Raw genomic sequence first — 25,186 nt, forward strand, 5'->3', positions numbered from 1 at the left:
CACATTTAACGTACCATGTGGCCAATGGGCAATTCAATACCAAAGCCATCCGATTATCTCTGGCCCGCACCAGCTGCTGGATTTTGCAGCCGGGTGCATTAGGTGACCATGGGACTGACCGGCAGGTCCAAGTACGCACGATGGGTGCCCGTGCAGGCAGCCTGGCCAGGCTTCAGCCTGGAAGACAGGATCTGTGTACATCCATAGCTGTGCTCTGAGCTTTACAGAAAAAGTTAATGTAAAAGCAATTTTGAAGAGTAAAAAAGAAGCTAATAATTATGAAATTCAAAACTTAAATGTTTTACTATAACACAGACAGTTGTTTAATTGCACTGTAATTTATCGTTAATACCAAAGTATTTTGGAGAAATAATCTTAGATTCCTTTTACTTTTATATTTTGGTTGTTTTGTTTAGCAAATGTAATATGGATTTTTTGAAAATTAATATTTAAAAATTTTCAGTATTAGGGACTAATTTGTCAGAGAAAGTAAGGTTATCCCCACCCTGCCACTTAGCAGTTTAGCGGTTTTAAATGCCTTTCAACTGAATATGGGATTATCTCTTTTTATTTATTTATTTACTTTTTTACCTTTTCTATGGTGCTGATCTTCTATGATTATATAAATTGTATTTTTTCTTGTTGCAAAAATGATATGCATTAATTTATTGAAATGTGAGAGCATACAAATAGGTAAGAGAAAGTAAAGAAAACTAATCCCGGCCGGGCACGCTGGCTCATGCCTGTAATCCCAGCACTTTGGGAGGCCAAGGCGGGCGGATCACCTGAGGTCAGGAGTTCAAGACCAGCCTGGCCAACATGGTGAAACCCCGTCTCTACTAAAAATACAAAAATTAACCAGGTGTGGTGGCACACGCCTGTAATCCCAGCTACTTGGGAGGCTGAGGCAGGAGAATTGCCTGAACCTGGGAGGTGGAGGTTGCAGTGAGCCAGGATTGCACCACTGCACTCCAGCCTGGGCGACAGAGGAAGACTCTGTCCAAAAGAAAAAAAAAAAAAGAAAAGAAAACTAATCCCAGCACCCAGAAATAACCAGTCATAGGCAGTGCTTAAGAAAATAAAGGTAACATTGTAGGTTTCACTTCTCCCCAAGCTTCTCTCCTTGGGCACACTTTTCTCACCTCTCAGCCTCCTTTTATGGGCGGATTCCTACCTGTGACCTTGAGATGGGGAGAACATAGACGGTAGTCATAGTTTAACTATCTCCTCCTTTATAAAATGGGAACAGCAATCCCTGCATTGCTGTGAGAATGCATGTATAATGGATCTGAAAGCAAATTGCCAATTGTAGAGTCATAAACAGATGTAAGGCTATGTTGCTACTTCCCTGTGCATGTGCCTACCACAGCTGCTGATATTGCTGCCTGTTTTAACTCAGATAATACCAGGTTTAGACAATATCTGATCACCTCCAAGTACTTCCCAGGCTTTAATCACTCCCGAGGTTTGGCTTTTAGTCTACATACTATGTACCGCATCTCTCTACATGTCCGTTAATATGTACAGAACAAGATAAATACCCTTGCTGGTGGGGAAGGCATTTAAACTCAGCCTTCCTGATTTAGAATCTATTACTCAGTCGGGCTGTTTGAAGTGTTAACTGATCCACCTTGTGATTCAGACTGCAGTCGGAGCAGAACCAAGGGGAAGAGATTGGTGGGGCTCACGCAGAGCAAGCCCCAGGAAGACCCAGCTGCCTGGCAAGCTCATTTTCCTACTAGTTTCAGCATACACTGTGGTTCAATGTGAAAGAGACAATGAACTTGCTTTTGTATTTATTTTGCAAATGTAACACAGACCCTGGTTTAAAAGATTATGTTACAGGCCAGGCGTGGCGGCTCACGCCTGTAATCCCAGCACTTTGGGAGGCCGAGGTGGGTGGATCACCTGAAGTCAGGAGTTCAAGACCAGCCTGGCTAACATGGTGAAACCCTGTCTCCACTAAAAATACAAAAATTAGCCAGGCGTGGTGGCAGGTGCCTGTAATCCCAGCTACTTGGGTGGCTGAGGCAGGAGAATCGCTTGAACCCGGGAGACGGAGGTTGCAGTGAGCCAAGATCGTACCATTGCACTCCAGCCTGGGTGACAGAGTGAGACTCCATCTTGATCACTTGAAGTCAGGAGTCAAGATGAAAACATAAACAAACAAACAAAAACATTATGCATGTTACAAATGGCAGTCATCCCTTGCACTCACATTCTTGTGTTTCCATCCCCAGAGCAACCCTCTACTAATTTCTAATGTGTTCTTCCAGAGGTAAACCATACAAACATCGCATATATGTGGTCTAACTTGCTGCCTCCTGGGTTTTTATTTTTTGTTTTTTGCACAAATGGTAGCAAACTAAGGGCATTGTTGTGCAACTTTTTTTCTACTTAGTATTTCTTAAAGATCATTTCGTATCAATATGTAGAGATCTGCTTCACTGTTTGGATTGATCATAGTTTGTTTAACTAGTTGGGCATTTAAGTGATTGCTATTTATTTTATTTTATTTCGTTGAGACAGAGTCTCGCTCTGTTGCCCAGGCTGGAGTGCAGTGGCGTGATCTCGGCTCACAGCAACCTCTGCCTCCCGGGTTCAAGCGATTCTCCTGCCTCAGCCTCCTGAGTAGCTGTGATTACAGGCATGTGCCACCACACCCAGCTAATTTTTTATATTTTTGGTAGAGGCAGGGTTTCACCATGTTGGCCATGCTGGTCTCAAACTCCTGACCTCAAGTGATCCTCCCACCTCGGCCTCCCAAAATGCTGGGATTACTAAAGGCATGAGCCACTGTGCCTGGCCTATTTATTTATTTATTTTTAGTTAAAAAAATTTTTTTTAACCTACCTCTTACACAGAAATAGGTTATTTCTAATTGACTACTGCTGCTAGTTTGCAGTAAGTTTTGCACACATGTGACCGTATGCATAGGATAAATGCCTCAGAGGGGAATTGCTCAGTTAAAAGGTGTTGTGTATTTATTTATTTAGTTAGATTTTTTCTGAGACGGAGTCTTGCTTTGTCGCCCAGGTTGGAGTGCAGTGGTGTGATCTCGGCTCACTCCAACCTTTGCCTCCCCACAACAAGCAATTCTCCTGCCTCAGCCTCCTGAGTAGCTGGGATTACAGGTGCCTGCCACCACGCCCAGATAATTTTTGTATTTTTAGTAGAGACGGGATTTTGCCATGTTGGCCAGGCTGGTCTCGAACTCCTGACCTCAGGTGATCCGCCTACCTCGGCCTCCCAAAGTGCTGGGATTACAGGCGTGAGCCACCGCACCTGGCCGGTGTGCATATTTAACATTTTGATGTATATTGTCACATTCCTGTCCGTGAAATTATATCAGTTTATGTTTCTGTAGAAATGCATAAGAAGTGTTTGTTTCTTCACACCTTCACCCACACAGCATGTTATTAGACTTCGTTGATCTTTGCCAATCTGGAGTCTCTGAAGTTTTAATTCATAGTCCTTTTCGGATGGTTAAGACTCACCTGTGTTGCCTTTCCTGTGAACTCGTATCAGTTGTCGATTTTCTTCTTTCTGATTCGTGTGTTGAGCTTGTTTTATTCCTATTCCCTCACGTGGCCCCGGGTCCTTCTTGCGTGCCCCCCTCCCCTGGCAGCTCCGTTTGGAGGAGGATGCCTCCTGGGCTAGGGTCAGGGTCCAGACCTGACTGCCTACCCTCTGGGTGAGCTTGACTAAGTCAGTTAAACTCTCTGAGTCACTGTTTTCTGCTCTGTGAAGAGAGGATATTAGTTCAACAGCAGGGATGTTGGATAGATAGATAATCAGTATAAAAGTGTTTTTAAAACTGTAGAAAGCTGTCACAATATAATATCACATTAGTATTTACTTGGTTTCAAATGAGTGGTAAGATTTTACTTACCTTAAACTTTACAGCCAAGTCATCTGGTTAAACAGGTAGGCAGAGTGAGGCCCAGAGGAGAATGGGCCTGTCGGAGTCAGGTGTCAGAGGCTGGGCTGACAGGTAACCAGGTCCTGATTTGTCTTGCTATATATAGTAGGAGCCATGTGGCAACCTGCAGTTTCTTCCAGAGCATCCTGATTTTTTTTTTTTTTTTTTTTTTTTTTAGACAGAGTCTTGCTCTGTCACCCAGGCTGGAGTGCAGTGGTGTGATCTCAGCTCACTGCAACCTCTGCCTCCCGGGTTCAAGCAACTCTCCTACCTCAGCCTCCAGAGTAACTGGGACTACAGGCACGCGCCACCATGCCTGACCAATTTTTGTATATATATATGTAAACACACACACTATATATATACACACATATACACTACATATATATATACCCACACATATACACTACATATACATATACATATACATATATATATATATATATATAATTTTTTTTTCTTTTAGTAAAGGAAGGGTTTCATTATGTTGGGCAGGCTGGTCTCAAACTCCTAACCTCAAGTGATCTGTCCACCTTGGCCTCCCAAAGTGCTGGGATTACAGGCGTGACCCACTGTGCCTGGCCTAGAACATCCTGATTTTTTTAAAAAAGTTTTTTTTTAAGAGACAGAGCTTTACTTTGTTGCCCAGGATGGAGTGCAGTGGTGCAAACAGCTCACTGCAGGCTTGAACCCCTGGGCTCAATCATTCCTCCCACCTTTGCCTCTGGTGTAGCTGGGATTACAGGCATGCACCATCACACCTGTCTTTGGTTTTTTAAGTGCCAACTCTTTCATGGGTGAACCCCTAAGAGCCAATACTTCAGAGCTGAAAGATGTCTATGTTGGAATCTCAGTTCTGCTAGCTGTTAGATGTAAACCCTGGACTGTGGACTTAGCCTTTTTGGGCCACGGTTGCAGAAGATGGCTGAAACAGTGCGGGAGTCCTTCTTGTCTGCTGTAGATGTTGTTGTTGTTATTATTATTATTATTGTTATTATTATTATTATTATTATTATTATTATTGCTTTTTTTTTTTGAGATGGAATTTTGTTCTTGTTGCCCAGGCTGGAGTACAATGGCGCGATCTTGGCTCACTGCAACCTCTGCCTCCAGGGTTCAAGCGATTCTCTTGCCTCAGCCTCCCAAGTAGCTGGGATTATAGGTGTCCGCCACCATGCCCAGCTAATTTTTGTATTTTTAGTAGAGATGGGGTTTCACCATGTTGGGCAGGCTGGTTTTGAACTCCTGACTTCAGGTAATCCACCCGCCTTGGCCCCCCAAAGTGCTGGGATTACAGGGGTGAGCCGCCGTGCCCGGCCTATGGTGTCATTGTTGCTGCTTGGCTTTGCAGGAGGCACAGCGGCAGCAGTCAGGGTTCAAGACCTTGCTCTGCCCTCGTTTGCTGGTTGTTTGACCTTGGGCATGTGACTTCACCCCTCTGAGGTAATGTAGGAGTCCCATCTATACAGGGTGGATTTGAAGTATCAGTGGGCTTTTTATATAGAGTACTTACCACATAGGAGGCACTTAATAAATATGCTATTTAAAAATTCTTGACAGGGTGTGGAGGCTCACACCTGTAATGCCAGCACTTTGAGAGGCCGGGACGGGTGGATCACTTGAGGACAGGAGTTTGAGACCAGCCTGGCCAACATGATGAAACTCCATCTTACAAAAATTAGCCAGGTGTGGTGGCAGGCACCTGTAATCCCAGCTACTTGGGAGGCTGAGGCAGGAGAATCACTTGAACCCAGGAGGCAGAGGTTGTGGTGAGCCAAGATTGCGGCACTGCACTCTAGCCTGGGCAACAGGGCAAGACTCCATCTCAAAAAGAAAAACAAAAAACAAAAAACCAAAACAACAAGCAAACAAACAAAATTCATACTAAAGTGCCTGTTATGTCCTGGCACTGGTCCAGATGTTGGGGCTTTAGCAGAATGGAAGCAGCATCCCTGGCCTCGGGGACCAGCGTCAGGTCTAAATGTCAATTCTGTTGTCCCCTCCTAGAAGCTGTGGGACACAGAGCTTCCCTAAGGAGATTTGAGGGTTTTTCCTGCCTCTGTAGACTCTGCAGATCACTTTCAGTGAGATTCTTTTTTTGAGTAACCCTAGGAAAATTGACTCTGCTTGTCCCTCGTCCCCCAACAAGGGGTAGGGCCTTACCTGACTGGCCCTCGAGCAGAGGTGATCTGAGGTTCCTTGACTAGGGGTGTGGTATGTGTCTTGTTCACTGTCCACCTGAGATGGGATCTGGTTCTGGACCCCTAGGACTGGATCTCCTTGGCTTATTAATTGTTCTGCCAAGGGAAGTTTCCTTCTCATCCAACCCCTGTTCAGTAACCACTGTGCTTGGACCTGGGGATACAGCGGTGAGCCCCACCTCAGCATCATCCTTCAGGAGCTCACACAGAGAGGCGGAAAATACACAAGAGGATTTCAGCTAGTGATAAGCCCTTCGAAGACAATAAAACAAGGGCATGTCATGGGGGTAGGTGGGTTATGCTAGAAAGTGCGGTCCAGACGCCTCTCTGCAATGGTATTCATGCTGAAGCTGGAGAATCAGAAAGGAAGCAACCTTCTGGGGAAAAGTATTCCAGGCAGTGAGAAAAGCCAAGAGCAGAGGCATCGAGTGGCTAAGCTTGTCATTCGTCATAAAGTACACAAACGATTTGTGAAAATGGGATCCAACGGGAACTACATAAAGAAACCTGGTGTGTTTGAGCATTTTTTTTTTTTCAGAGCAGGTGATATGCTAGTTATAAATCAGTGCACGCCCTGCCTGAGGGGATGGCCAAGTCAGCCTGGGTGAGGTGAGTGGATAAGTGCATTTGAGGCCATCGCTTGAGCTACAGTATTTATTTGAAATGAGTAAAATCTACAAGGCCTCGATAAGTGGCAGAACCGAGGCCTTCCTGAATTCAGAGTAGCCCTGCCAGCCTGTCCTGACGGATGAGGGCTTCCTCGTTGGCTCTCCAGCTAATAGTGTCAGCGTCTGCAGCCACCATCGACACAAAGTCAATTTCCACTCTTGGATCTGCGATTTAACACCCAGCTGCTCAGAGAGCTGCAGAGAGTGGAGGTCAGTGGGGCTAACTGGGTTGCTTAATGAAAGAGGGAGGTTTCCAGAATTGGAAAGGCGGGGCCCCTGGCAGGGTCATGGTGCAGAGAAACTAGCGTGGCTAGCTCATGGGGCTAAGCTGGGAGGAGGAAAGGGGCCACTGTCACAGGGCTGGAGCCCACAGACCCACATGGAGGCCTTGGACTCCCATGGACCCCATTCCCCTGGGAGGCATTTCTTGTAGCTCTAGGAGTTTGAGTTCTAGAAAAAGGCCAGGTGGGCAGCTTGGGGCATTCTTTGGCTTGGATTAATCTCTCCTAGTAACAGCGTGAGTAATGGCTACCTTTTCTCCCTCTTGCCCTTATTCCATAACCCCTGCCCACCTCCAAACCCACACAGAGCGCTGTCTGTGGTTAGCACCAGCTGGAACTGGGGATGGGTCTGACCATGTGAGGGCACAGCTCATGGTGGTAAGGCTAAATTAAAGGTCACTTGGCCAACTCGTTGGTGTACTCTGTCTGCTGGGTAACCCTGCCCTTTGGGCAAGTCTCACCACTCCCTTTGTTCTAGACTAGAAGTCATTCATTTATTCATTCACTCACTTGTTTTTTATTCACCTGATCAATCACACATCCTCTTGTCTGTTCATTTATTTAACAAATGCTTACTGAGTCATCATCCATGCCAGGCTCTGTTGGATGCTAGGAGCAGACCATCTCCATTCTCTTAGAGCTTAGAGTCGACTGGGAAGAGAAGAGGCAGACCTGTGCATTGCACACTTGTTATTATGATTGTGTGTTTCACTGGCGCTGCACATAGCAGTTCCTGTTTGAGACATACCTCAGTGAACAAGTACAGGACCTGGTTGGGTGATCAGAATCCACATGGAATCTCCTGTGTCATCATGTGCCCCAGCAGGTGCCATCTTTTGGGAACAGGGTGTGGACAGGTACAACACATGCCCCCAGGAACTCATCACCACGGGGATTCCAAGAGGGCTGAGGCCAGCCCTGCCTGTGGTCTTCAGCCTTCTTTCCAGGCTCCATGGTGTCTTGTATCTCTACTGGGGGTTGTATTCTTTTTGTTTGTTTCTTGTTTTTAATTCAACAAACATTTAATAATTGTAAAATTTTAATATTTTGCTTCTAGTTGTAAAGAAGATATAATTAAAGACTTGGCCATTAGTTTCATACATTCCCAATAACGGTGGTTCATATAATCATATCTTTTCCTGCTTTGTTTTTTAACTATAAAATGAAAGGCTAGTTTTAGAATTTTATTACAAAAGAATTAAATCTTTGTTGAAGAAAATTAAAGAACTGCAGATATACCCTTTCAAAGGAAATAAAAACCACCCATAATTATTTAAAAGTGACTATTATTTCTTTTTTCACATATTTATTTTTCCTTTAAAAAAGTCAGATCATATTGTCTTTATGACTTTTTCATTTAGCATTATATTGAAGAATCTATCTTTATTAAGGCCTTATAGATCTTCATTAAGGTTTAAAGAAGGTTTTTTCCATGGCCTTAAATTGGTTCACCTCCTCATTTGATGACAGTAGGATTCCTCATGGATGTAGCTTGAGATTCTGTTTTGTGGTTTGCACTTCTCTCTTCTTGAGAGCCAGTTATGTTTTACTCATGACCTCAGGCAAGTAATTGACTTGTTTGCCTCTTTATTTATTTGTACAGGAGGAAAATAACTGCACTTCTCTTGGAGTGGATGGGAGGGGTGAACAAGCAGAGGGGCCTAGTACTGGTGAAAGCTGTAGCAACAGTGGCCACCGTGGAGCAGGAGGGGCAGGAGAGGTACTACCATTTCCCATTTGGTACCCAGAAGCCAGACACTGAGGGTTAAGTTACCTGTCTTCAGCAGCTGTTGACCCAAGTTGGACTTGGGCAGCATACAAATGAGAGTTAGCCTGAGCCCTGGGCTGGGGTGGGTTGGTTCATTGCAAAGATGGAGCTCCTCCGGCTCCTTCCCTCATCCTCACAAACCAGAGGAAGTGTATTTGGTTGAAAATGACCCACATCCTTCACCAGGCATGCTGCCAGCAGCAGCATGGGGCAGCTGCAAGGCTGCTGCTTGGGAGTTGGTGAATGGCCTGGCTGCCAAGAGCCCCCTGGGCCAGGGGCCACCCACACCCACCCTGGATATTGAGGCTCAGAGAGGCAGTGCTATTTGCCTAAGTCAGGCAGCTTGTTAGTGGCAGAGCTGGGATTTGAACCCAAGGCTTTTCCACTGCATCTTCCATGTTAGACTCATTCACCCTGTGAGTTGGAACACCCATTATGTGCAAGGAGCTCCAGCGCTCCCACAGGGTGCTCCAGACATGAAGAAGCTATGGTCCTTGCTGAAATGGCACACACATAATACAGGAGATGCTGCAAGAGCCAAGGATGCCCTAGGGACACTTATCTGGTTCATTCCTTACGCATACACTGTGCCAGGCTGTGTACTCAGCACCATGGACACGAATGTGAACAAGCAGACCACAGAGGGCCAGCAGACAGCAAACTGCCAGCAGATTGAGGGGCAGAGAGCACTGTGGACAGCAGAGGGCTCTGGGCAGCAGTTCCTGGGAAGAATTGTTGTGGTGGGACTTAAGGTTGGGCTATCCCAGCCGCAGTGCTCCTGAAACCAGGGGCACAGTCTTGGCATTGAATGGTAGCTATGGGAAGGGCTTTTGACCAACTCACCTGGATCTGAGGATTCTGCTACTTAACATGCTGTGTGACCTTGGGCACATGGCTTGGCTTTTCTGAGCTTTTTCCTTGTTTAAAGAGGATACTATTATCTGCCTCACAGAGTGGGTGTGAGAATTAAATGAGAATAAAGGGACTTGAATGTATCTCCAGCAGCCATGTGATTATTGTCATCAGGGGGTGGCAGCAAGTGTAGAGAAGGCAGGGACACGTTTGGGGTTGACATTGCACATTATAGAGTGAAACATAAGTGGAGCCCAAATGCTATGCTTATGTGACACACATTGTCCTAGTAATGATCTCATGCACCTGCTGCACAAATAAGAAAGGAATTGTAGCCTGCTGCGCATGGCTGCCCCTTGAGAGAGGAGGAGAGGAGTTATTTCTGGAATTTGCCCCAAGGTATAGCAGGTCCCTTTTGACTTGGTCCCACAGTGTACACCCAGTCCTGTTGGGCATTTAAGGAGAGCTTGCTCATCTTGAAGAAAAGTCTCCTAATGCCCAGAACTGGGGGATGGGGATTAATGGGGAGATTTCTGGAACCTAGGCATATTTCCTGCTGCTCTAGTTATTAAAGCAGCGCAGGGCATCTGGGCGGATTTGTTCAGTGATGCTGGCAGGCATCCGGCCCCTTCCCACACTCCATAGTGCAGACTGCTTGGGGTCTAATCCTGCTGCGGTGGCTTTTTTTCTTTTCTTTTTCCAGCTTTATTGAGGTAAACTTGACAAATAAAAACTGTGTTATTTAACGTACATAATGTGATGATTTGATGTATGTATATACTGTGAAAAGATGACCACAATCAAGCTAATTAACATATCCAACACCTCACACAGTTATCTTTGTGTGTGTGTGCTTGTGTGTATGTGTCTGTGTGTGTGGTGAGAACGTTTAAGATCTACTCTCTTAGTCAATTTCAAGTATACAATATAGTGTTTAGTCACATCGCTGTAGTGTAGATCTCCAGGATTTATTCATCCTGCATGACTGAAACTTTGTACTATCTGACAAACACCTCCCCATTTCCTCTGTCCTTCAGCCCCTGGTCACCAGCATTCTACCTTGTGCTTTTCCCACTTCTGGGTATGTATCCAAAGGAAATGAAATCAAGATCTCAGAGAGATCTGCACTCTCACGTTCATTGCAGCATTATTTACAACAGCCAAGATATGGAAACAACCTAAGTGTTTGTTGACAGATGAATGGATAAAGAAAATGTGGTATGTACATATAACAGAATATTATGCAACCTTAAGAAAGGAAGGGAATTCTGTCATTTGTGTAGCATGGATGAACCTGGAGGACATTATGCCAAGTGAAATGAGCCAGATGCAGAAAGACAAATGCTGCGTGATGTTACTCTTGTAGAATGTAGAAAAGACTGTGACTTATTAACTTGACAGGCAATAGGTCCTGCTCTTGTCAGCCTCCTCATCCATAGCAGGGGAGCACTGTGTTATCCCGTGGACATGTGGATAACAGTAGTGCCAACCTGATTGTGGTACTGTGAGGGTAAAATAATATATGTTTAAAGAGCCTGACAGAGTGCCTGTCACCATGAGCGCTCAAGTTTTTGCTCTTGGGATTTGGATATCTGCCTATCCTTTGCTGTTCCCTCCTCAGGGAAACTGTCATCCTCTTCTCTGGCCAGACCCTGGTTCTTCTTGGGTTCTCCTGGGGACCTGTGTGAGATGATGGGATAAGTGCAAGGGCAGTGACAAGCAGGGAGGCAGGTGGGTGACTTGGGTCAGGAATCCCATGGGTTTTTTTTTTTTTTTTTGAGATGGAGTCTGTCTCCTGGGCAGGAGTGCAGGGGTGCAATCTCGGCTCACTGCAACCTCTGCCTCCTAGGCTTAAGCGCTCCTCCTGCCTCAGCCTCCCAAGTAGCTGGGATTACAGGCGCCACCATGCCCGGCTAAGTTTTTTGTATTTTTAGTAGAAATGAGGTTTTACCATGTAGCCCAGGCTGGTATCAAACTCCTGACCTCAAGTGATCCTCCCCACCTTGGACTCCCAAAGTGCTGGGATTACAGGCATGAACCACTGTGCCAGGCCCTGCAGATCTTTTCCTGTCTGCCTGCAGAGCCCTCAGGTACCTCTCTGCTGATTCCGGCAGCCTGACCCACCCATGGGGCCTCTCAGTGAATCTATCTTGTCCTGAGGGAGAATTCCAAGGCTCTCAGTCCCTCATGGAAGGGATTTTAGAGGGTGTGTTATCCAAATAGCCTCCCAGGCAGGGCTTGGGCTGTTTCTGCCTAATGCTTGTATGTGTGGAAGGCAAGGTGCTCACTGTTCTGGAGGCAGCCTATTTCATTTGGGGACAGCCTTGGCAACTTGGGTTTTGAGCTGAATCTCACTTTTATCCTCTAGTTCTCCCTCATGGCGCCAAGGTTCTCCCCCACCCCTTTTTTTAGAGATGGGTCTCGCTCTGTTGCCCAGTCTGGAGTGCAATGGTGTGATCAGGGCTCACTGCAGCCTCAACTTCCTGGGCTCAAGTGATTCTCCCACCTCAGCCTCCCAAGCAGCTGAAACTATAGGTGTGCACCATTACACCCAGCACATTTTTAATTTTTTTGTAGAGATGGGGGTCTCACCATGTTGCCCAGACTGTTCTCTAACTCCTGGGCTCCAGCAATCCTGCCTCAGCATCCCAAAGTATTAGCATTACGGGCATGAGCCACTGTGCCTGGCTCACCAAGGCCCTTGAGCACCTTCAGGTCCCTTGAGAGAGGTGACCTGCCATCCCCTGCAACTTCCCTCCCCACTCTGGCCCTGCAGCCTCGCTTGCTCCCTCCGGCCTTTGGCCCTGGTCCTGCAGGTCTCATTCTGGATTCCTCAGGGGAGCTTCATCGTGGCCCCAGGTTCTTGGGTGACTCTTGAGCCCTCTTAAAGTTGCAGCCAACCTTGGATCTTAAGTGGAATGAAAGATGTTAAACGCTTGGTGTGTTTTTCTTTTCTTGTCATCAGGGGCTGTTGGTCATGAAGAGTGGAGTTCAGGGGCAGGGGGAGGTGTTTGGAGTCTCTCATTGAGGCCTCTGTGAGCTCTGTCCTGGCTGTGGCTGAGTGGAATGTGTAGGTCCTGAGGGTTCAGAGCATGACAGCTAGAAGGGCCTTCAGAGGCCATTCACTCCTGGTTTTTTTTTTTTTTTTTTTTTTTTGCAGAGGTCTCACTCTGTCACCCAGGCTGCAGTGCAGTGGTGTGATCACAGCTCACTGCAACCTCTGCCTCCCGGGCTCAAGTAATTCTCCCATCTTAGCCTCCTGAGTAGCTGGGACTATAGGTGCGTGCCACTGCACTTGACTAATTTTTAAATTTTTCATTGAGATAAGGTCTCACTATGTTGCTTAGGCTGGTCTCAAACTCCTGGGCTCAAGTCATTTCTCTGCCTTTTTTTCTTTTTTTTTTCATTTTTGAGACGGAGTCTCTGTCGCTCGGGCTGGAGTGCAGGGGTGCAATCTTGGCTGACCGCCACCTCTGCCTCCTGGGCTAAAGGGATCCTCCCACCTCAGCCTTCCAAGTAGCTGGGATTACAGGCGCAGCACTTCCAAAGTGCTGGGATTACAGGTGTGAGCCACTGGGCCCAGCCACTCCTGGGGCTTTTCCCCTTTATTGGTCATAGCCCCATCAGAGACTCTAAAGAGTATGGACTCTCTTAATGTAAGAATGTCAAAACATAAAAAAGTTCGCATGTGATTTCATAGACTCTCTAAAAGCCATGCACAAGCCCAGAGTAAGAACTTCTATTTGAGTCCTTCTGCATTCTTTATATAGATAGAGAAACTGAGGTCCAGAGAGGCACCCACACACCTCACAGTCATTGATAGGAGGGCAGAGGGGGCCTGGATTGGCTCAGCCAGAGGCAGGGCTGGGCCATGTGTGGATGGGAGCAGGATTAGCAGTGGGGAGATGAGCAGGGAAGAGGACCAGAGGGACCTCAGCCCGGCGAGCAGTGGCCTCCAGCCCTGCACTGGAGGCTGGGCCCAAACATGAGGCTGAAGTAGGATGCGGAGAGTTGGTTAGAGATGTGGAAACTGTGCTTAGTGGTTCAAGAGAAAGTCTGGGATAGGGAGGACGTGATCTTTGGCCAGTGAAGGTGCCAGACCCAAGTAGAACAGGTGTTGGATTGGAAAGACTGCATAGACACAGACATACTGTTTTAGAATTTTACAGAGGAGGAAACTGAGTCCCAGCAAGTGGCAGGCAGCTGGGATAAGGTCAGTGCAGGTGGGTGAGTTAACTCGGAGTCTTTTGGGGTGGCAAGTGATTCACATTATTTCATTTTAATAACTTATTTAAATGCACATTTGAGAAAATATAGCTGGTACACATAATTTATTGCTAAGGATAAGTCTAAGAGGAAAAAATAAGTAGATTTAAAGACAGATATTAAGTAAACAGTAGTGGGGGTATAAAGATATGGTAACTATAGGAAGTTGGCATGAAAACCATACTGTTTAAGACCTGGCTGGATGAATGACTGACAAATTTGATCTAGACTGATCTCTGAGCCTCCAAGCATGGACTCCTCTTAGGAGAGAGTAGTACCCAAACACACATGTCCTCTACCAACTCCCTGGGGTGGGCTTCTTCTCAAGAATAGTGCAGAGAAAGAGGGAGGGACCCTGTGAAACAGTTAAGTTAGGAGAGGGTAGTACCCAAACACACATGTCCTTTACCAACTCCCTGGGGTGGGCTTCTTCTCAAGAATAGTGCAGAGAAAGAGGGAGGGACCCTGTGAAACAGTTAAGTTAGGAGAGGCGTCCTCCTGCCGTGTGACTTGGGTCAGCTTGTTAAAGGAGGCGAGAAGGCAGGGGAGGGAATATGCCTGGGCATGTAAGGCTCATCGGGACCTCGGTTACCATTTCACCTGTGCAAATTTTCAGGACTGAGTCTTTTCTCTATACTGCCCCACGAGGGGACTGACATTACTTAAGGCCTCTCTCCAGGACCCCGAGCTCAGGCCTAGCCCGATGGAGCAGAACCATCTCTGGAGCAGAACCACCCCTGACCAGAAGTCCAAAGATGTGAGACTGGGGTCAAATCTAGGTTTACTCCTAGTCGAGAAAATGGGAAGGACAATGTCATATCTCCTCTGGTCTGTGAGGTCGATGGCTGTAAAAGTTGCCCAGTGGTGAACTCAGTTAGGTCTTATCTGTTGCAGATTATGTCACTCCACCCCTCTGAGACTTCAGTTCCTTATTTCTAAACATCGACCAGCACTTTGGGAGGCCGAGGCGGGCGGATCACAAGGTCAGGAGATCAAGACCATCCTGGCCAACACGGGGAAACTCCGTGTGTACTAAAAAAAATACAAAAAATTAGCCAGGCGTGGTGGCGGGTGCCTGTAGTCCCAGCTACTCGGGAGGCTGAGGCAGGAGAATGGCGTGAACCCGGGAGGTGGAGCTTGCAGTGAGCTGAGATCGCGCCATTGCACTTCAGCCTGGGTGACAGAGTGAGACTCCGTCTCAAAAAAAAAAAAAAAAAAAAAATGGAGATAATAAAGCCCCAATCTGTGAGATTGTTTTAGGATTAAATTAGATAGTGTATTTAAAGTACTTGACAATACCTGGCACATAGTAATTGCCCAGTTTATTTAAGGCTGTTATTTTAATAAGGAGTTTTAAAAAAAATGAATACATATAGAAATGTTGTGATTACTAATCTGTGAACCAGTAGCAAAGCTATCACCTCTGAACCCTCAGGCAAAGCTTGGACCTTACAAATGATGTTGCCACCTTGTGGCAGCCTACTCAAATTGCAGGTTTAGTGTTTTTATTTTAAGTCTTGTTTTTAAATTTATGATTATGATTATGATAAGAAATCAGAAAATCTAAAGTTATGTGGTTTAGGCAACAAGGTAACCAGGAAGAACAGGCTAAAATAAAATATCTTTACTGGATTAAAAACAGAGTACCAGACCTAGCAGAGCCTTAATAATCAGTTAATCTATATATTTAAAGGTATCGCTTATTAAGGTCTTTTTCTAGGGCAGACAGCTTGACTAGCACTTTGCATCTATCCTTTGTAGTCCATCCTACTTAGCAAGATCAATATTATTAGTGTCATGTATTTCAAAAAGGGAAACTGAGGCTCAGAAGTAACTGAGTAACTTGCCTGATAACACAGAGCTTTCATGTGGCAGAGCTGGAAATGTGAACCAGGCAGGATGATGATTAAACCTCCTAGTAAGTAACCTCTCAACCAAAATATCTGTCCTGTTCCTGGATTCTAGAGGGTGTCACGGGCTGCATTCTTGATTTCTGCCATAGGGCCTGGGATTATACTCTGCAGTCCTGCCCGTGTCCTTGACAGAGCACAATAGCACCCATCATGATTTCATTGGATTCTACTAAAGGCAAATATGGGGTGATTATTAAATTATCTGTCCCCTCCTCCTCACTGCTCCCTGTCCCCCCACAAAGGCAGTTAGGTGGCCTCTTTGGGGAAAGTAGGTTTTCTCTGAATGGCTCTCAGAGAAGCAGGTTTCCTGCTTGCACTTTGAGAACCTGCATCTGGAACCAGCCCAGAGGGGTGGTAGCAGGGCTATGAGGAGGAAACAGAACCAGCATGTTCCTTTCCAAGTTGGTTCAGCTGACGAGGCTGTCGGAGATGAGGACCAGGTCCCTGCATTGAGTGGCTAGAGAGCTGTCCTGGAAACTCTTTGGTCCATGGTAAGGATATCCCTCATGCCAGGGGAGGAAGTCTTCCTTGCACTAGAAAACAACAGTCCTCTTTCTGTAAAGTTGGGCATCTCGGCCCATTTCCCTTGCTGGCTTTGCTGGGAGAGGAAGGTGTGGGTTGGGGTGTTCGGTTCACAGTGGTAAGCTTTGGGACCTATGTGGGTGTTCATGCAGGGAAGTCCCAGAGCCCACACATGCATGCTTGTGCCTCCAGCCTTTTTCCCCGCTCTATGAGATATGGTCTGGGAGAGGCAGACTAGAAAGATTCCTTGATAATGAATGATTGTTTAGAAATGATGGCTTATTCAGGACTCCCAGGGGAAGAGCCTTCTTCCTGATTTTTTTCTTTGCATTCATGGAGACATCAGGAAGCTTTGAAAGGCTGTGTGGAGAGATGGCATTAGGATGTGCTCACAGACATGGGGTCTCAGAGTAAGCAGAGTCAGATCTTAGAAGATGAGGCTGGAGCATCATTCCCATTGTAGGTAACAACCCTAGAAATCTAGAACCCTCTCAGTTCCTTCCCAAGTAAGAAAGCCTGTCTTAACATCCCTGGAAAATACAGTATCTATTCAGCTGTGTAGCTCCAGGGACTGAACATTCTCACTGGGGTATCCCATTCCCTTTGGACATCTGGCAGGATCACTGAGCTGGACTCCACTCCTCTGGAACTCTCTTTTGTCTACACCAGCGGTCTCCAACTTTTTTGGCACCAGGGACTGGTTTCATGGAAGACAGTTTTTCCACAGATGGGGTTGGGGGTGGGGGGTGGCGGATGCAGGGAAGATGGTTTCTGCATGATTCAAGTGCATTACATGTATTGTGTACTTTATTTCTATTATTATTACATTGTAATATGTAATGAAATAATTATCAACTCACCATAATGTAGAATCAGTGGGAGCCCTGAGCTTGTTTTCCTGCAACTAGATGGTCCCATCTGGGGGTGATGGGAGATAGTGACACCCAAAGTGGGTTGCTTATGTCCAGTCTCCTCCGTAATCTTGTTTTGGTTGCTGTCGCTGCAGAAAACCCTGCTTCACAGGGATAGGATGTTGGAAATAGAAGCAGGCTTTTCAGTGCTTTGTGGCAGTCTCCGGATATTCCGCCTTGATTTTAATCCAGAACGTATGGAGATTTGAAGTTGTCACAAATATATTTTTAAGGCCACCAGATGCAGCTTAATTGGCACTTGCCACTCAGCGATAGGGTTTTTCTTTAGACAAGGTCTGGCTCTGTCAGCCAGGCTGGAGTATAGTGGTGTGATCTTGGCTCACTACAACCTCCACCTCCCAGGCTCAAGCAATCATCCCATTTTAGCCTCCTGAGTAGCTGGGACTATAGGCACGTGCCACCATGCCTGGCTAATTTTTTTTTTTTTTTTTTTTGAGACAGAGTCTTGCTCTGTCGCCCACACTGGAGTGCAGTGGTGCCATCTCGGCTCACTGCAACCTCCGCCTCTCAGGTTCAAGCGATTCTGCCACCTCAGCCTCCTGAGTAGCTGAGACTATAAGTGCCCACCACCACGTCTGGCTAATTTTTGTATTTTCTGCCACCTCAGCCTCCTGAGTAGCTGAGACTACAGGCGCCCACCACCATGCCTGGCTAATTTTTGTATTTTCAGTAGAGATGGGGTTTCACCATGTTGGCCAGGCTGGTATCAAACTCCTGACCTCAGGTGATCCACCCACCTCGGCCTCCCAAAGTGCTAGGATTACAGGCGTGAGCCACCATGCCTGGCATAATTTTTGTATTTTTTTTTGTAGAGATGAGATTTCACTTTGTTGCCCAGACTGCTCTTGAACTCCTGAGCTCAAGCAGTCTGCCCACTTCAGCCTCCCAAAGTGCTGGGATTACAGGCGTGAGCCACCACTCCTGGCCACTGATAGAGTTTTGATATGAGTCTGCAAGCAATTGATGTATTATGATCTCTGTGCAGTCAGACCTCTCTGCTAATGTTAATCTCTATTTGCAGCCACTCCCCAGCACTAGCATCACTGCCTCAGCTCCACCTCAGATCAGCAGGCATTAGATTCTAATAAGGAGTGAACAATCTAGATCTCTTGCATGTGCAGTTCACAATAGGGGTTGTGCTCCTATGAGAATCTAATGCCGCTGCTGATCTTACAGGAGGTGGAGCTCAGGCAGTAATGCGTGCCATGGGGAGCAGCTGTAAATACAGATGAAGCTTTGCTTACTTGCCCACCACTTATCTCCTGTTGTGTGGCCCGGTTCCTAACAGGCCACGGACTTGTACCGGTTCGTGGCCTGAAGGCTGGGGATCCTGGTCTGCACTGCATAACGTCTTATACTTTTCTCACTTACAAATGACAATGGCAATGTGATATGCTGCCGGAGCCAGGCGTCAGGAGGCACGTTCCCACTGATTCGGGGAGCTCATCCAGGAGGGGAAGTGCTTCTCCTTTGGTCTTTCCCCATGGCTGAGAGACACCCCCTACTCCCCGGCCATGCCCTCGTCCTCTCTGGGCTTCAGGTTTCTCACTTATACGTTGAATGGGGGCTGTAGTGACTTCCTGTTGCTGCTGTAACAAACTACCACACATGTAGTGCCTTAACACAGATCTTGCCGTTTCAGAGGTCAGCAGCCAAACATGGGTCTCACTGGGCTGAAGTGAGGGTGTGGCAGGGCTGCATTCCTTCCCAGGGGCTCCAGGAGAGAAGCCATTTTCTGGCCTTTTCCAGCTTCCAGAGACTGCCCACATTCCTTGGCTTGTGGCCCCTTCACTTATCTCCTTCTCTGGCCCTGACCCTGACCCTGACCCTTCTGCCTCCCTCTTAAAAAGACCCTCTGATCACACTAGGCCCACCCAGGTCATCCGGGGTTATCTCCCATCTCCGTATTCTGAACCACATCGGCAGAGTCCCTTTTGCCCTGTAAGGTAGTATCTTCTCAGGTTTGGGAGATCAGGACGTGGACATCTGTGGGGGACCTTATGCTGCCTGCTGTGGTGGTGCACTCATCATCTCCAGAGCCCCCTCACCTCTGCAGCAGCCAGTCAGCCTCTGTCCTCCCTCAGGGTTGTGGGAGCCCCTGCCTTCCTTTTATATATCCTTTTTTAATATTTATTTTTATTTTTAAGACATCATGCCTAAGCCCCTGCCTTCCTGCCAGATCTGGCCTCTTCAGGGGGAGAAGTGCAGGAGATGACCACTTCAGTCTGGAAGCCTTCCTCTCTGGCTGTCAAATTCTATTCAACTTCTTAGGATTCAAGTTTAAAAAAAGGCGAGAACACTCTAATTGTTTCCTTCCTAGAATCATGTGTCTTTTGCCCCATAGCCCCTCAAAGTATAAAGACGTACAGGACATCATCGCTTCCTCCAAAAAGTTGAAGATCCAGATAGGGGAAGATGTGGGTGCCCACACAAAGTCAAGACTGTTTACTTCCAGGCAGTTATCAGCTGTGTCATCCTGGGCAAGTAACTTAACCTCTTAGGCTCAATTTCTTTACCTGTTAAGTGCAAATAGTAGGACCTTCCTTTTCTCCCAAGGGTTGTGATAAGAATAAAATCAGGAAGCCGAGGCAGGAGGATTGCTTGAGGCTAGCCTGGGCAGCATAGTGAGACCCTGTCTCTACCAAAAAAAAAAAAATCTGCTGAGTGTGGTGGCACATGCCTGTAGTCCTAGCTACTTGGGAGGCTGAGGTGGGAGAACTCTTGAGCCCAGGAGTTCGAGGCTTCAGTGAGCTATGATCACTGCACTCCAGCCCGGACAACAGAGCAAGACCCTGTCTCTTAAAAAAAAAAAAAGGAATAAAAATTGGAGAATATATTGAAACACAAGGGTTGATTGGAATAGTATGAGACACCTTGAGTGATACCGAAGCCATCATAGGACTTGATTAAATGTGACACAAAATTATTACAGGGTCAGGGCTTGCTGTCGTTTATGTGGGTGGGGCTACTCTGCAGACGAGGACCTCAGGCTTTGAAGGCCCCTCATCATTATCATCTCCAAACTTCATGTTCTAGAACCTTGAAGGAATTGGGTGGCTGGTTTGTTGAGAGCAGGGTGAGCGTACAAATGGAGGCTCCCCGCCTGCGTGTGGGGGGCCGTGTGCGCATGCAGGCGGATGCTGCACCTGCATTTCTAAGTGCCGGCCACCATTTTCCCTGCAGGCAGCCACTGCCTGGTCACACCTTGGGTCTAGGAATGTGTAACCCCCACTGCACAGTCATCCTGAGGATGATGGGCCCAGGAAGAGACCTGCATAGGCCCCTGGAAGCAGGCTCAGGGCCATTTAGGTGGGGAAATTGGGGTCCCAAAGGCATCTGCAGCCCAGGTAGGCAGGTTTCCTTACACAAGTGGACTCCCAGATCTGTGGGGAGGGAACTGCTGGAGGAGGGCCAGAGTGATGCCCCTGAAGGGCCAAGCTGAGGGCAGGGCCCTGATTGCCCAGGTCTGAAGGGCTATGGAGATATTCTAGTCAGGTGTGACAGCAGAGGTGGGCAGGGGATGGGGAACTAACTGGGTATCGTCTTGGACCTGTGAGGCCAGATTTAAGGCATAGAGTAACAGGAGCCACCTGTTACCGTGTCCTACATAAATTATAGCAAGAGGAGTATTTTCTTTTCCTCTGCCAGTTTTCATGAAAGACAGAGCAAGCCGTATTCCTTTTTCCTTGTTCTTTCTGTTTGCCTAGCAGGCAGCACTCCACTTGCTCCGCCTTACATTCAGTGGTGTGCTGGGAAATGCATAACAACTGGTTCTGGAGGTGGGGTGAGGTGGGAGGCTCTGAGTTGTAGCATTTTCAGGTGTCCAGGAAGTAAATATCCCCACCATGGCCAATTTCATCCTGTTTAAGTGATGTCACTGAACGTTGTCCCCAAGCTTTAGCATTCTGCTTTACATTCTCATTTTAATCCTCAAGCAACTCTGAATTAGTTGCTGTTATCCCAGACTTACAGGCAGGAAGCAGGCTCAGAGAAGTGAAGGTTTCCAACTTAGACGTGCCAGGCTGTGCACAGGTGGGGACCTCTGAGGGGCCTGCTCTGATCTGGGTTGGGGCTGCCCCAGGACCCTTGGAGGAGCCGCCACCAGAGCAATGGTAGGTGTTGGGCCAGAGGTTGTTTAGGTGGCGTTGGTGGTGAAGGCTTTTTCTGTGAGCTTGTTGGGTTGACGATTGTGACATGCTGCCGGGAGGGTGTTGGGTAGACACATGGTTGTGATGTGGCGATGGTGGGTTAGGGTACGGTAGTGTGCGTGATGTGCTGGCTGTCTCGGGATGCGGTGTTTGTGCTGGTGATGCAGCCAGTCTCCTGTCATGGTGTGTGGCACAATGGATTTATTTGGCTGAGGAGGCTGCATGGTGTTGCTGTGGTGTTTGCTGTTGTATTGCTTTGCTAGGGCTACTGTAATAAAGTACCATAGACTGGGTGACTTACACCAGAGAAATGGATTTTCTCACAATTCTGAAGGCCAGAAGTCTAAAAGCAAGGGGTGGGCAGTCAGCTTACTTTGAGGCCTCTCTCCTTGGCTTGTAGATGGGCATCTTTCCCCTGTGAGTTCACGTGGTCTTTGGTCTGTGTGTGCCTGTGTCCTGATCTCCTCTTATAAGGGCACCAGTCATATTAAATTAGGGCCTATTGTCGTGACCTAATTTTAACTTAGTTACCTCTTTAAAGAGCCTGGCTCCAAATACAGTCACATTTTGAGGTAGTGGGTTTAGGGCTTCATCATATGAATTTTAGGGCAATGCAACTCAGCCTCTAACAATTGTGTTTTCTGTAACTGCTGACTGGGTGGCGGTGGTGGTGATTCCTCGGTGGGGTTTGGTGTGACAGTGTTTGTGACCTTGTGAAGATATTTGTGTGTGTGTTTAGTATGATGGTATCCTATGCCAGTGGTTGTACTGTGAACATACCTGGTGCTTAAGGTAAAGGCGCTGGCTGTGGTGGCGTTGCAGGAGGTGTTTGGGGAGATGGTCTTTGTTGCAGATATTTTCTATTGGGGTATGATGCTTGGTGTTTGTGAGATATTGTTCTGCCCGTGTACCAGCTCTGCCCATGCTTAGAGTTTTTGGTTAACAGTGTTGGCTGGGCTGATGCTTTCAGTCTGTACCTTCTTGGTGTTTGGGGCAACCCCACAGGCTGCAGTTCAGGTTGTGAGGCAAGGACTGCTGTGGTCGTGTCTTGTGCAGCCAGATGAGAGCTACATGTCTCTTACTAATCCAAACAGCCTCCAGAGGAAACAAAGCTGTGCCTCCTGAAGCTTGATGGAAGCTGCTGCATGACCCCGGCCTCCTGCCGGCCTGTCTGCCATGTTTTGTGCAGCTGGTGCATGGGTGAGCCTGGCAGCTGACCCTCCTCAGCCAGTGCTGCCTACACAGGGGAAGACACCTGCGGCTCCTGCTCTGCCCCGTGGGCAGGAGTGGGGCAAGGCAGCGTCTACTCTTAGGTGTGTCTCAGCCTGGCCCCTGCCTGGCTGGTTGCTCTGTTCTAGCCTGGTCCCTCCCAGGTCCCTCCTCACAAAAGGCAGCTCCACCTTCACAGACAGGGGTCAGGAGGAGGACAGACAGATGGAAATCACATATCCAAATCAGTGTGTAGTTACGCACTGAGAATGTGAGGAGGCTAACAGACACGGTGATGGGAGGCAGAGCGGCCGCGGGAGGGACTGAGATGGGGCCGGCAGGGTGGCCATGTGCTGGAAATGGATGTGTGAGGTGAAGCGCTTGGAGGCGTGGGGGAGGCTCAGCTCCCATCCCTCTCAGATGGGAGCTGAGTGCAAACTTCAGGAGGGAACTGGCTGCCCAGCGTGTTGGTGACTCTCATGAGAACTGGGGACTGTGGGCGGGGCTCAGCCTGCCCCACCTCTGCTGCCAGGCACCCCACTGGCATTTCTCTGGAATGTTGGTGCTCTGTCCCCAGATGCATGGCAGCCTGTACCTGCCAGTCAGAAAGCAGGTGTCCAGTGGTGAGCCTCAGGGCTCCAGCCTGAGCCCTCCTGCTTTGGCCACTGTAGCACCAGTTAAGAGAGCAAAGAAGGTACTTGTCCTGGGTCCCCCTTTCAGCTCTGACCTGAATTCCCTTTGGGGAGAGGCCATGGTGACATGGGCATCAGAGCCCCAGCGGAAAGTCCAGGGGTGGCACCTTGCAGCAGCCATGAGGCAGAGAGCCTGTGGAGTCCCCTGTTCCCCCCTAGTGAGGGGACACCGTCGTAGAGAAGTTTACAGAATGGGTGTCGGGGCCTGAGTTAAAGTTAGTGTTGCTGCTACTGACTGTGTGCACTGGGCTCCGGTTTCCTCACCTGCACAGCAGGGCTAAAAATCTGGCATAGCCCTGGGTGCTGTGAGGTTGCCATGAGATGCTACAGGTAAGGCATATAGCATTTAGCAGTGAGCCGGGCATATAGCAGCGGATCAGTAGAGGTCTGCGGCGCTGGTAATCCTTCTGGCTTCTGGTCCCACGATGACCGGCCTGACCACAATAATCACATCCGAGCATTAGCGGGGATTGGGATGATCTCTAGGACTCCCAGCTTTGACATTCATTCATTTGTTCATTCATTCATCTAGCATGCAGGCCACACCTCTTAGGAGTTTGTCTCTATTTAGGGTGCCAGGGCTTTAGGGACCTGTAATGACTAGGTCCCTGCCCCATGTGTGACCTGGCAGCTGGGCAGGCCTGAACCTCACCCCCTCTCCCTCCTGCCTCTGGCCCTATACTGACTTGCAGAACTCCATTTGTAGCTGGATCCTCAGGCCTTCTCAGAAGATGACAGATTCTCCAGGATCCACTCATGGGAGTCATGGAGACCAGGCTGCTGCTTTGGGAGTTGAGAGCATTTTGTCTAGTGGTTGGGTTCTATCCCTACTCGCGCTTCCCAGGATCTAGATGGGCTCATCTGGGACTCAGTGGAGCAGCATGTCCCCACAGCCAGAGAGCCGGGCGAGCTGCAGCCACAGCAGGCAGGGGAAACTGGTTCCACAATTCCACCTAGAATTGCTTCCCCCTTCTCCCTTTGGTGGGCTGTGTTCATTGGCAGCTGAGGGTTGTGTAGGGGTGGAGTAGGGCAGCTCCCTACTGTGGAGGCCTCCTGCCAGCCCCACATGGCTGAACTATCACCTCCTACTCTGGGCGTTACTGTAGAAGCCATAACTACAGCCCAGTGGGGGCAGAGGCAGCTGAGAATGCACATTTTTCTGTGGATCTGGAGAGGGCAGGGCATAGTGGTAATAGGAGGTGATATGGAGCCTAGGTTCTTGTCCCCACTATCATCACGGCCTTGTGTAACCTTGGACAGCTTCCGTGGCCCTGCAGGTCTTCAACTTCTTTCCCTTCACAGAGGCTCAGTGATTCTTGCCCTGCCTGCCGCCCAGGTTGCTTGGAGGATGCAGTAGGGTGACGCATGTGGCCACAGGGATAAAGGTCGTGACTGAGATGGTGCAGGAGCTGAGATGCGCCTTTCAGCACCCATGGCAGACAGAACGAATTCAGTCTCCACACTCTTACCCCTGAGCTCCAAGAGGCCTCAGAATCCACTGCAAAACAAGGCTTCAGGTAGTCCTCCCAATTAATTGAAGCTGACACTTGAGATAAACATTTTCTGAGAGACCTAGAAAGGCATGCTGAGTCTGCAGCTAGGCATGCCTTGTGGTAGGGGCTTTGGCTAGTGATGCCCACACTCTTCCCTGTCCTAGGATGGGAGCCAGGAAGCACTCAGGGATCTGAGCTCTGGATTTTCTGATCAGATTCTGCCTTTGGATCTCCTTCTCCAATTCACCCCCTACCCCCTTCTCTTTCTCCACATGCAACAATAAAGGGAGTTGTGGCATTAGGTGCACTGGACTGTCTA

General features: G+C 48.0%; 1 protein-coding gene across 6 annotated transcripts in view, besides 3 other annotated features; it reads left to right on the forward strand.

Moving 5' to 3' along the window:
• Positions 1 to 25,186, forward strand: part of PPARGC1B (PPARG coactivator 1 beta) — a 127,650-nt gene that overhangs the window by 20,393 nt on the left and 82,071 nt on the right. The window contains exon 1 of one of the 6 annotated variants that reach the window (NM_001172699.2): positions 21,238 to 21,437. The exons of the other annotated variants lie outside the window; for them this stretch is intronic. Coding sequence (NP_001166170.1) covers positions 21,435 to 21,437 — 3 coding nt within the window. The 5' untranslated portion in view covers positions 21,238 to 21,434. Of the gene's footprint in view, positions 1 to 21,237; positions 21,438 to 25,186 lie in introns of those variants that run through there. 6 annotated transcript variants of the gene reach the window in all.
• Positions 8,625 to 9,342: an enhancer, noted in NCBI's record as "H3K27ac-H3K4me1 hESC enhancer chr5:149138890-149139607 (GRCh37/hg19 assembly coordinates)". NCBI's record gives its function as "activates a minimal SCP1, AML or CMV promoter by ChIP-STARR-seq in primed H9 embryonic stem cells {active_cell/tissue: H9 hESC(primed)}" and the evidence as "EXISTENCE:reporter gene assay evidence [ECO:0000049][PMID:30033119]".
• Positions 12,780 to 13,650: an enhancer, noted in NCBI's record as "H3K4me1 hESC enhancer chr5:149143045-149143915 (GRCh37/hg19 assembly coordinates)". NCBI's record gives its function as "activates a minimal SCP1, AML or CMV promoter by ChIP-STARR-seq in primed H9 embryonic stem cells {active_cell/tissue: H9 hESC(primed)}" and the evidence as "EXISTENCE:reporter gene assay evidence [ECO:0000049][PMID:30033119]".
• Positions 22,168 to 23,007: an enhancer, noted in NCBI's record as "H3K27ac-H3K4me1 hESC enhancer chr5:149152433-149153272 (GRCh37/hg19 assembly coordinates)". NCBI's record gives its function as "activates a minimal SCP1, AML or CMV promoter by ChIP-STARR-seq in primed H9 embryonic stem cells {active_cell/tissue: H9 hESC(primed)}" and the evidence as "EXISTENCE:reporter gene assay evidence [ECO:0000049][PMID:30033119]".

The sequence above is a fragment of the Homo sapiens genome, chromosome 5, assembly GCF_000001405.40.
Source record: "Homo sapiens chromosome 5, GRCh38.p14 Primary Assembly".
Lineage (NCBI taxonomy): Eukaryota > Metazoa > Chordata > Mammalia > Primates > Hominidae > Homo > Homo sapiens.